Genomic DNA, 12,007 nt, shown 5'->3' with positions numbered 1-12,007 from the left:
TTAAGTTCTTCCTTGATGTGTATAAACAGAAGAGTTCTAGGTCAAGTGAAAAAAAGTTTACCTTTTTTTTTTCTTTTTTTGAGACAAAGTTTTGCTCTTTTGCCCAGGCTGGAGTACAATGGCACGATCTCGGCTGACCGCAACCTCTGCCTCCTGGGTTCAAGCGATTCTCCTGCCTCAGCCTCCCTAAGTGCTAGGATTACAGATGTGACTCAGCGCGCCCCGCCAAAAAAAACCCCACTTTCAATAAGTGACAAAACACTGTAAATAAATGTGTTTACAGGATGATTATTTAAAGAACAATGACCCAAACTAGGTCTGTATGTATCAACATCTACCTAGTAAATCTCCAAAATCATCTGCTGAGTGGAAAATGAGCTATTACAGTTCTCATTATTATAAAAGTATGCAAACATTCTTTATATAACTGAAAATTACTCATTAAAGAAAAAACAAATTCTAAGGGAAAACAGTACAATTCCAATACACAGAGAAGCACTAGCCATATGCAACTACTACACATTTCATTATGGGGCCTATAATCTATGTTTTTAGCTTTCTCTTTATGCTAAAAAGTTCTCTTTTATCGAGAACAAATTCAATATTTAAATTACAGACAGAAACTAGAAGCTCTGTACAAAATCCTGGAGCACATTCACAGTAAAGAAAACAAAGAAATAGAAAAATGAGAACAAAAATATAAAAATGAACATAATCTAGATTTAAAATACCCAAGAGGTATGTAACCTTGAAGAAAATTCAGTGACCAATAAGTTTAGTTTTGTGGCTTCTTCTGTTGTGAACAGACTATTACTTCACATATGAGGAAAAAAAAGAAAAAAAATCCCACTGCCATCTCCAGCAGAAACTGTATAACAAAATTCCTACTGGAACTGGTGTAAGATGATGCAGGAGTCAACATTCCAGTTCTGGTTCTTGACTGTGGCACAAGCGTTAACAAGTTTACTATAAAGAACTAAGCAGATGTCACTAATATGGCCTTCCTTCAAGGCCCAGAAGTTAAGATAGCAACTTTAAGTTCATATAACCAATGACTACCTCCTACATACACACACGTCCTAGCACTGGTTCCAGGTTCTACCTATCTGTCTGGAGAAGACAGTTGGGAGAGCTTTCCACCAAGCCATGGCAATCTCATCTGTGACCTGCCAATTCCAAAAATTACACTACTAACCTATAATCACATGATGGCAGTACATTTGGTATAACCCACATATGACTCTCAGCTAGATAACTGTTACTTATGACTCTAAATTACATATTTCCAAGGTACAGGCCCATGGCTCAGAGTTAAACTAACTTAAAATTTAAATAGACACTGACTTGGATTAAAGTGTATTGACTGGGTGCGGAGGCTCACACCTGTAATCCCAGCACTTCGGGAGGCCGAGGCAGGAGGATCACTTGAGCCCAGGAGTTTGAGACCAGCCTGAGCAACATGGCAAAACCCCATCTCTACAAAAAAAATAAATAATTAGCCAGGCATGATGGCATGCACCTGCAGTCCCAGCTACTAAGGAGGCTGAGGTAGGAAGATCAATTGAGCCCAAGAGACGGAGGTTGCAGTCAGCCTTGATCGCACCACTGCGCTCCAGCCTGGAATTGGTATAACAATAAGATGCAGGAGTCAACATTCCACCCAACATTCTGGGTGACATAGCAAGAATATGTCTCAAAAAAATTTGAAAACAGTGTATTAAAAGCATTTTTAAAATGGTGTCTCAAAAATAAAAACAAAAAAATAGAATAAAAGAAGAAGAAAAAAACAACTGGTGTCTTGAGCTGCATGTGGTGGCTCATGCCTGTAATCCCAACAGTTTGGGAGTCTAAGGCGGGAGGACCACTTGAGGCCAGGACTTCAAGACAGCTTGAGCAATGTAGTGAGACCCGGTCTCTACCAAAAAAAAAAAAAAAAAAAAAAAAAATCTGGGTATGGTAGTGCATGACTGTAGTCTTCACTTCTTAGAAGGCTGAGTTGTGAGGATCACTTAAGTCCAGGAGTTTGAGACAGCAGTGAGCTATGACTGCACCACTGCACTTTAGTCTGGGCAACAGAGTAAGATCCTGCCTCTAAAACAAAATTTTAAAATAAGAAATAAAACTGGCATTTTGACATATCAGCTGTGAGGTGCATGACAAGAAATCCTGACAGTGTTTTTTCTTGTGAGTGACGTACTTTTAAAATAAAATCACGGCCAGGCAGAGTGGCTCACACCTGTAATTCCAACACTCTGGGAGGCTGAGTCAAGTGGATCACTTGAGGTCAGGAACTCGAGACCTGGGCAATACAGCAACACCCTGTCTCTACCAAGACTTCCAAAATTAGCCAGGCATGGTGGCGCACGCCTGTAGTCCCAGCTATTCAGGTGGTTAAGGAAGAAGAATCACTTGAAACTGCGAGGCGGAGGTTGCAGTAAGCCAAGATCACGCCACTAAGTGAGACAGAGTGAGACTCAGTCTCAAAGTAATAAATAAATAAATAATAAAATAGACTCAAAATTAGCACTATATATATACATTTTTTAAAGATAAGGTCTCACTCTGTCGCCCAGGCTCAGTGCAGTGGTGCCATCACAGCTCACTGGCAGCCTCAACCTCCCAGGCTCAAGCAATCCTCCCATCTCAGCCTCCCAAGTAGCTGAGACTACAAGTTCATGCCGCCATGTCCGGCTTTTTTTAATTTAATTTTTTGGTAGAGGTGGGGTCCTACTATGTTGCCCTGGCTGGTCTCAAACTCTTGGGCTCTACAGATCCACCCACCTTGGCCTCCCAAAGTGCACAGATTATAGGCATGAGCCACCATGCCCTGCCTAAAAAATTAATCTCATTTACTTGCATTTCCTCCTGACTAGGAACACATGGGATGGTCCAAGGGTATGATCAACAGAGAACAGCTGGTCCTGACAGTTTAAAGTCAAATAGGTGTAGGACTAAATCTCTGAACCACTGTATGAAACTGGGCAAATCACTGAAGTTCTATTAGCTCTTCTTGAAATCTGTGGATTTCAAGAGTAAAAACCACCTACCTTATGGATGTTTCAAGGATTAAATAAAACAGTACTATATGTTGGGGATGAGGGTAATACAGTGCCTGAAATATAGTTGGTGCTCAATGAAGATTATTAGTTACTTCTTTTCCCCTATATGGGAGTCCTGCATGGACCATCCTTAACATGAAATTTTAACCAACCAACCAGTTTCAACCACCCTATGAACTACCAAGCATGTATTACAACAAAATAACTTGCCACCCATAGGGGCCAAATTATTCAACAAGTCACAATATTTAAGATATAACTGGCCGAGCGTGGTGGCTCACGCCTGTAATCCCAGCACTTTGGGAGGTCAAGGCGGGTGGATCACCTGAGGTCGGGAGTTCCAGACCAGCCTGACCAACATGGAGAAACCCCGTCTCTACTAAAAATACAAAAAAAAAAATTAGCTGGGGTGGTGGCACATGCCTGTAATCCCAGCTACTCGGGAGGCTGAGGCAGGAGAATGGCTTGAACCTGGGAGGGGGAGGCTGCAGTGAGCTGAGATCACGCCATTACACTCCAGCCTGGGCAACAAGAGGGAAACTCTGTCTCAAAAAAAAAAAAAAAAAGATATAACTAGGCCAGATGCTGTGGCTCATGCCTGTAATCCCAGCACTTTGGGAGACTGGGGCGGGAGGATCACATGAGACCAGGAGTTTAAGAGCAGCCTGGCCAACATGGCAAAACCCCATCTCTCCTAAAAACACAAAAATTAGCCAGACATGGTGGCACAACGTCCATAATCCCAGCAACTAGGGTGGCTGAGGCATGAGAATCACCTGAACCCGGGAGGCAGAGGTTGCAGTGGGCTGAGATCGTGCAACAGCACTCCAGCCTAAGTGACAGAGTGAGACCCTGTCTCAAAAAAAAAAAAAAAAAAAAGTTATAACTAAAAAGTAAAAGCTTTGAACCACTCATCTAAATAAAAAATGTTAAGCCAGGCCCGGTGCGGTGGCTCACACCTGTAATTCCAGCACTTTGGGAGGCCAAGGCAGGCGGATCACAGGGTCAGGAGATCAAGACTATCCTGGCTAACACAGTGAAACCCCGTCTCTACTAAAAATACAAAAATTAGCCAAGCATGGCGGCATGTGCCTGTAGTCCCAGCTGCTGGGGAGGCTGAGGCAGGAGAATGGCGTGAACCTGGGAGGCGGAGCTTGCCGTGAGCCAAGATCGCGCCACTGCACTCCAGCCTGGGCGAGAGAGCGAGACTCCGTCTCAAAAAAAAAAAAAAAAAAAAAAAAAGTTAAGCCAAAGCCGGAAACTGAGGTCCTACATTTATTTCTCCCTTCAATTTCCATTAGATTATAAATTTTATGAGGGCACGGGTCAATGTTTTTATTCACTACTATATCCCTAGCACAGTATCTACTACATAGATGTTTATAAAGACATGCTTATGAACAAATTAATGTTCTTTAATCCTTTGCACCTGAATGCCTTCATCCATGAAACAAGAATATAAAATAATTTCTTCTGTTCTTGGGGAATGTTTTAACATTGCACATTATTTGATGCTATTATAAATGATTTGCTTTTCTTTTTCGCTTTTACTTCAACTGCCAATTGTTCATTGCTAGTATGAGAAATACAACTAGATCTTGCAAATTGATTTATATTCTAACTAAACTTAAATTCTAGTAGCTTTTTTATAGCTTGCTTAAGGCTATGTGTACAATCATGACATCTAAAGAATAAATAGTTTTACTTTTACTTTGTAATCTGTAAGATTATTCCTTTTACTTGTCTTATTTCATTGGCTAGGACCTTTGGAACATGTTTAATAGAGGTTGCGAAAACAATTACCATTGACTTGTTTGGAGTATTATATAGAAAGCATTCACTCTTTTACCATAAGTATGATGTTACTTATATATTTTTCATAAATGCCTTTTATCAGATTAAAGAAGTTCCCTTCTATTCCTAGTGAGCTGAGAGCTTTTATCACAAATAGTGTTAACAGTTAGTCAAATGCTTTTTAGGTAACTATTACAAAGCCACTTAGCTTTTCTCCTTTATTCTATTAATATGGTGAATTACAATGAATTCTAATGCTAAATCAACTTTGCAACTGGGATAATCCAATTAGTTATGGTTTTATTCACTGCTAGATTCAATTTTCTAGTATTTTGTTAATTATTTCTATATATATGTTGAGGGATATTGAGCTACAGTTTTCTTTTTTCCTAATGTCTTGGTCTGGTTTGGTATCAAGGTAATGCTGGCCTCATAAATGTCTTGTGAAATTTGTAAAAAAAAAAAAAAAAATTGGTATTTTTTCCTTAAATGTTTGATAGAATTTACCAACAAAGCCATGTAGGTCTGGATTCTTCTTTTTAGGAAGACTTTGTTTGATTGTTTGTTTGTGACACTGATTGTGCCACTGCATTCCAGCCTCAACCTCCTGGGTTCAGGCAATCCTCCCACCTCAGTCTCTCAAGTAGCTGGGACCACAGGCGTGCACCACCACACCTGACTAATTTTCATTTATTTATATTTTTTGTAGAGATGAGTCTCGCTATATTGCCCAGGCTGGTCTCAAACTCCTGGGCTCAAGTGATCCTCCTGCCTTAGCCTCCCAAAGTGCTGGGACTAGAGCCATGAGTCACCGTGCCTGGCCTTGTGGGAAGATTTTTAATCCAATTTCTGTAATAAATATGGGGTTATTCAGATTCTCATTCTTTCTTTTTTTTTTAATTTGTTTTTTCTTCCAGTATTTTTGTATTTTAGTATTTTTGTATTTTGCTATATTGCCCAGGCTGGTCTCAAACTCCTAGACTCAAGCAATTGGCCCACCTTGGCCAAACACAGTGCTGGGATTACAGGAGTGAGCCACCTCACCCGGCCTTGTTTTCTATCTCATTTACTTTAGCTCTTTATTATTTCTCTTCTATTTAGATTTCTCTTTCTATTAAGGCAAAATGTTAGGTCACTGATTTTAGACCTTTATTTTAAAGCTGAAGTTTCCTTCTAAAGCACTGTATTAGCTGTATCCCACAAATTTTGATATACTGTGTTTTCATTTTCATTTAATTACAAATATTTTCTTTTTTTTCTTTTGAGACGGAGTCTTGCTCTGTCACCCAGGCTGGAGTGTAGTGGCACGATCTTGGCTCACTGCAAGCTCCACCTCCCAGGTTCACACCATTCTCCTGCCTCAGCCTCCCATGTAGCTGGGACTACAGGCACCTGCCACCACGCCCGGCTAATTTTTTGTGTATTTAGCAGAGATGGGGTTTCACCGCGTTAGCCAGGATGGTCTCGATCTCCTGACCTCGTGATCCGCCCACTTCGGCCTCCCAAAGTGCTGGGATTACAGGTGTGAGTCACCATGCCCGGCTCACAAATATTTTCTAGTATCTCACAAATTTTGATATATTGTGTTTTCATTTTCACTTAGCTATGAATATTTTCTAATTTCCTTTGTGAATTCTTTGACCTAAAGGTTATTTTGAAGTATGTTATTTCACTTTCAAATATTCGGAGATTTTCCAGATATCTTTTTCATTTCTAATTTAATTCCATTGTAGTCAGAGTAGACACTACACATTTCAATCCTTTTAAATTTGTTGAAATGTGTTTTGTAGCCCAGCATATGGTCTATTTTGGTAAATGTTCCATGTGCACTTGAAAAGAATGTGGGCAGAGTGTTCTATAAATGTCAATTAAGTATAGTCCATTGAGGGTATTGTCCAAATCTTCTATAACCTTACTGATTTTTTGCCTGCTTGTTCTATCAGTTATTAAGGAACAATGTTGTAATTTCCAAATGTAATTGTGGATTTGTCTATTTCTCCTTTCAACTGTCAGTTTTTGCTTCCACTCTGTTACTGGATGCATATACATTTAGGACCGCTGTGTCTTCTCAAAAAATTGATCCTTCTTTCGTGATGAATCATGCTTCATTACTCCTAGCAATATTTTTCTTGTTCTGAGGTCTCCTTTGTCTAATAAAAATCACTCTAGCTTTTTTATACTTAGTGTTTATACTTAGCTTTTTTATATTTAGTGATACTGTTTATACAGTATCTTTTTCCATTCTTTTAAATATAAAGATACAATTAGCCAGGTGTGGTAGTACACACTTGTAGTCTTCCCTACTTGGCAGGCTGAGGCGGGAGGATCACTTGAGCCCAGGAGTTTAAGGCTGCAGTGAACTATGATCATACCACTGCACTCCAGCTTGGGCAACATAGGGAGACCCTCATCTCTTTAAAAAATAAAATAATAATAATAAAGACTCGATCTAGGAAATTCATTGTAATAAAAGGTTTGCTAGTAAAAGCAGGATCCCATTATAGCAAATGGCACTCTAAAAAGTTCTGTAAGAACGGCCCATAATAAGAATTTTGTTCTAATCTTTTATTTTAGAAATAAATAAAACTTTGGAGAACTTGTTAAAATAAGTTTTTCACAACAAATAATTCTTTTTTTCTTTTTTTTTTTTTAGACTGAGTCTCGTTCTGTCGCCCAGGCTAGAGTGCAATTGCACGATCTCAGCTCAATGCAACCTCTGCCTCCCAGGTTCAAGCAATTCTCATGCCTCAGCCTCCCGAGTAGCTGGGATTACAGGCACATGCCACCATGCCCGGCTAATTTTTTGTATTTTTAGTAGAGACAGGGTTTTACCATGTTGCCCAGGCTGGTCTCAAACTCCTGAGCTCAGGCAATCCGCCCACCTCGGCCTCCCAAAGTGCTAGGATTACAGGCGTGAGCCACCTTGCCTGGCAAACAAATAATACTATACAACAAATGGCTCCTTGAGTTCTGGTCCAGAGTATGTAACAATTTTCTTTGTTTTCCTTACTGAGCACGATTAGTAGGTAAAAAATAGGCTGGGCACGGTGCCTAACACCTGTAATCCCAACACTCCGGGAGGCTGAGGTGGGCGAATCACTTGAACCCAGGAGTTCGAGACCAGGCTGGGCAACGTGGCAAAACACCGTCCTTTTTTTTTTGTTTGTGAGACGGAGTCTTACTCTGTCACCCAGGCTGGAATGTAGAAGCTCAATCTCGGCTCACTGCACCTCCTGGGTTCAAGCGATTCTCCTGTCTCAGCCTCCCGAGTAGCTGGGACTACAAGCGCACACCAACAAGCCCAGCTAATTTTCATGTTTTTAGTAGAGACAGGGTTTTGCCGTGGTCGCCAGGCTGGTCTCGAATTCCTGACCTCAGATGATCCACCCACCTCAGCCTCCCAAAGTGCTGGGATTACAGGCATGAGTCACTGCGCCTGGCCAACCTCGTCTTTACAAAAAATACAAAAATTAGCTGGGGACAGTGGCACATGCCTGTGGTCCCAGCTACTCAGGGAGGCTGAGGTGGGAGGGTCTCGTGAGCCCTGGAGGTTGAGGCTGCAGAGAGCCATGACTGCGCCACTGCACTCCAGCCTGGGTGACAGAGAGAGACTGTGTCTCAAACAAACAAACAAATAAACCAAAGAAATCGCTGATCAAGAGCTGAGACCTTTTAACTTTTGCTCCAGTATCAAGCAAGACATACAGGTCTAACTCACTTTTCCCCACATAAAATATTCTAATCATCTCTAGAAAAATCCTCTTTCAAAATGAGCTACCAAGTAATAATACAGTAAAAAAGACAGGGCTTGGCTAGGCCCGGTGGCTCATGCCTGTAATCCCAGCACTTTGGGAGGCCAAGGCAGGTGGATAACCTGAGGTCAGGAGTTCGAGACCAGCCTGGGCAAAATGGCAAAACCCCACCTCTACTAAAAACACAAAAAATTAGCTGGGTGTGGTGGCGCACACCTGTAATCCCAGCTATTTGGGAAGCTGAGAAAGGAGAATCGCTTGAGCCCAGGAGGCAGAGGTCGCAGTGACCCGAGACTGTGCCACTGCACTACAGCCTGGGCGACAGAGCAAGACTTTGTCTCAAAAAAAAAAAAAAAAAGGGGGGCTTTCTACGACACTATCAACTATGTTTAAGTTAACTAAATCTTTTAACTTTCTAATTCATTACATGGTGCTACTGTTTTCTCTCCAAGACCTAAAAACTAGGAATTATAACTTTTGATAATATGTATATTACAAATTAATTCCAATATCCCAAAACCTGAAAGCCCTAAGGAATCTGTTACGGTGAATGAAATTTTCCTTGCAATAGTACTTGCAGAATTTAATGTAAGCCCTCATTTAAACCTATTTTACACACACAGAATTCAAAAGAAACATGGACATTATCAGGTATAAAGGTTTGTTCTTCATATCTTCAGTAAGTCCAAGAGGTAATAATGAGGGTTTCTGAATTATTTTTCACTGACACAATCTAGTTAAAATGTCAGATTGGGCTGGGCACGGTGGCTCACACCTGTAATCCCAGCACTTTGGGAGGCCAAGGTGGGTGGATCACCTGAGGTCAGGAGTTCGAGACCAGCCTGGCCAACATGGTAAAACCCCATATCTACTAAAAATACAAAATATTAGCTGGGCATGGTGGCACGGGACTGTAACCCCAGCTACTCAGGAGGCTGAAGTAGGAGAATCACTTGATCCTGGGAGGTGGAGGTTGCAGTAAGCCTAGATCGTGCCACTGCACTCCAGCCCGGGCAACAAGAGCAAAACTCTGTCTCAAAAGAATACAATACAATACAAATGTCAGATTGGCTTGACTTTAGCTCAACTTCTATCAACTCCTAATAGATGAAAGGATTTCAACTCCCTGTAGTAAAACTTACCACAAACTATCTAAAGCTCTCATTAATAAAATTGGAGAAATAAAGTACTGCTTAATAAATTCAGTCTAATAATGGGGGAAAAAGCCTTTTAAAACATGGTCTCAAGAGTGGGAGGAATAACAGTAAAAGGTTGGGAATTAGATTTAGTCCAGTCTCTTCCACAATGATTCTCCACACAACATCTCTAATAATTATGTGCATAGCTTCTGCTCAAATACTTTCTGTAAGAGAAAAATACTGTGTAGAGAAAAACAAAGCAGTGTACTTAATTCAGGTCAACTAACTATAAGTCAGTGGTTTCTTTAACCTATTTTGAGTCACAGAATTTTTTTTTTCTGAGACAGGGTCTCACTCTGTCACCCAGGCTGAAGTGTGGAAGTGCATATACAACTCACTCTGGCTTTGACCTCGACCTCCAAGACTCAGGTAATCCTCTCACTTCAGCCTCCCGGACAGATGCAGATGGGACTATAGGCACACGCCACCATGCCTGGCTAATTATTTGTATTTTTTGGAGAGATGGGGTTTCACCACTTTGCCCAGGCTGGTCTCAAACTCCTAGGCTCAATGGTCCTCTTGCCTCGGCCACCCAAAATGCTGGGCCTCGCCACTGTCCCTGGCCAAAGAACTTTTTTTTTTTTTTTTTTTTTGAGATGGAGTCTCACTCTGTTGCCCAGGCTGGAGTGCAGTGGCGCGATCTTGGCTCACTGCAAGTTCTGCCTCCCGGGTTCACACCATTCTCCTGCCTCAGCCTCCCGAGTAGCTGGGACTACAGGCGCCTGCCACCATGCCCAGCTAATTTTTTTTGTACTTTTAGTAGAGACGGGGTTTCACTATGTTAGCCAGGATGGTCTCAATCTCCTGACCTCGTGATCCACCTGCCTTGGCCTCCCAAAGTGCTGGGATTACAGGCGTGAGACACCGTGCCCAGCCCCAAAGAACTTTTTAAGAACGTAATAAAACCATGGACTCTTTCTAAAGAAAAATATACATCCATGTATATACACACACACAAATATTTACCTATCATTTCACAGAGTTCAAGGACCCTGATGCCTGTCCACCCCTTGCCATACTTGACTATGGGAGACAAATTCCTCCTCTCCATGGAGAAGAATGTGGCCATATCTACTGAAATCACAAATGCATACATCCTTGAAAAAAGCAATTCCACTTCTAGGGATTTATCCTGTAAATGTATCTGAATGTGTGTTAAATGACATTATGTACAAGATTATTCACTATAGCACTATTTATATCAACAAAACACTGCTGTCCATCTAAGTGTCCATCAACAGGAAACGGTTCAGCCATACAATGAAATACAAAGCAGCCTTGAAAAAAAGAACAAAGAAGCTCTATATGTATGAATGTAAAACAATTCCTGAAATATCTTAAGCACAAGAAGCAAAATGCACAATAGTTTATATAATATACTTGCATTTTTTAAAAATGGAAGGGTTGAATATACATAAGTATTTGCAGATATATCTCTCAAATATAAGAAACTTTTTAACAGTTGTCTCTAGGAAGGAAACCAGGTGGATAAGGGAGAAATGTAGAAGAGATGTTTCACTGTATATCTGTGAAAGATTCTGAATTGTGTACTATATATTAACTAGTAAAAAATTTTAATTTTGGGGCCAGGCATGGTGGCTTACACCTGTAATCACAGCACTTTGAGAGGCAGAGGTGGGTGGATTGTCTGAGCTCAGGAGTTCGAGACCAAAGCCTGGGCAACATGGTGAAACCCCGTCTCTACTAAAAAACAAAAAAAAAAATTAGCTGGGCACGGCAGCATGCGCCCATAATCCGAGCTACTCGGGAGGCTGAGACAGGAGAATCGCTTGAACCTGGGAGGCAGAGGTTGCAGTGAGCCGAGATCATGACATTGCCCTCCAGCCTGGGTGACAGAGTAAGACTCCGTCTCCAATATATATATATATATATATAATTTTTAAAATTTTTTACCACATACCTAGACTTCAAGAAAACTAATCAAGATTAATTATTTAAAAACACGCCTCAGCCAGGCGTGGTGGCTTATGCATGTAATCCCATCACTTTGGGAAGCTGAGGTGGGAGGATCACTTGAGGCTGGGAGGCAGAGTTTGCAGTGAACCAAGACTGCGCCACTGCACTCCAGCCTGGGTGACAGAGTGAGACCCTATCTAAAAATAAAAATAAAAAATAAAAAAGGCCTCTGCCCTGGACTCTAAACTCTTTTGCTAAGCTTCAAAACCAAGCTATCCTATACTAA

At 41.1% G+C, this 12,007-nt stretch overlaps 1 protein-coding gene across 43 annotated transcripts in view; it reads right to left on the bottom strand.

Moving 5' to 3' along the window:
- The window catches only part of TLK2 (tousled like kinase 2), a 144,568-nt gene that overhangs the window by 108,128 nt on the left and 24,433 nt on the right, over positions 1-12,007 (bottom strand). The window contains exon 1 of one of the 43 annotated variants that reach the window (XM_047435186.1): positions 62-1,919. The exons of the other annotated variants lie outside the window; for them this stretch is intronic. The gene's annotated coding sequence lies outside the window, so the exon portion shown is untranslated. Of the gene's footprint in view, positions 1-61; positions 1,920-12,007 lie in introns of those variants that run through there. 43 annotated transcript variants of the gene reach the window in all.

The sequence above is a fragment of the Homo sapiens genome, chromosome 17, assembly GCF_000001405.40.
Source record: "Homo sapiens chromosome 17, GRCh38.p14 Primary Assembly".
Taxonomy (NCBI): domain Eukaryota; kingdom Metazoa; phylum Chordata; class Mammalia; order Primates; family Hominidae; genus Homo; species Homo sapiens.
Note: the sequence above shows the minus strand (reverse complement) of the source record. Positions and strands in the feature narration are given on the sequence as shown.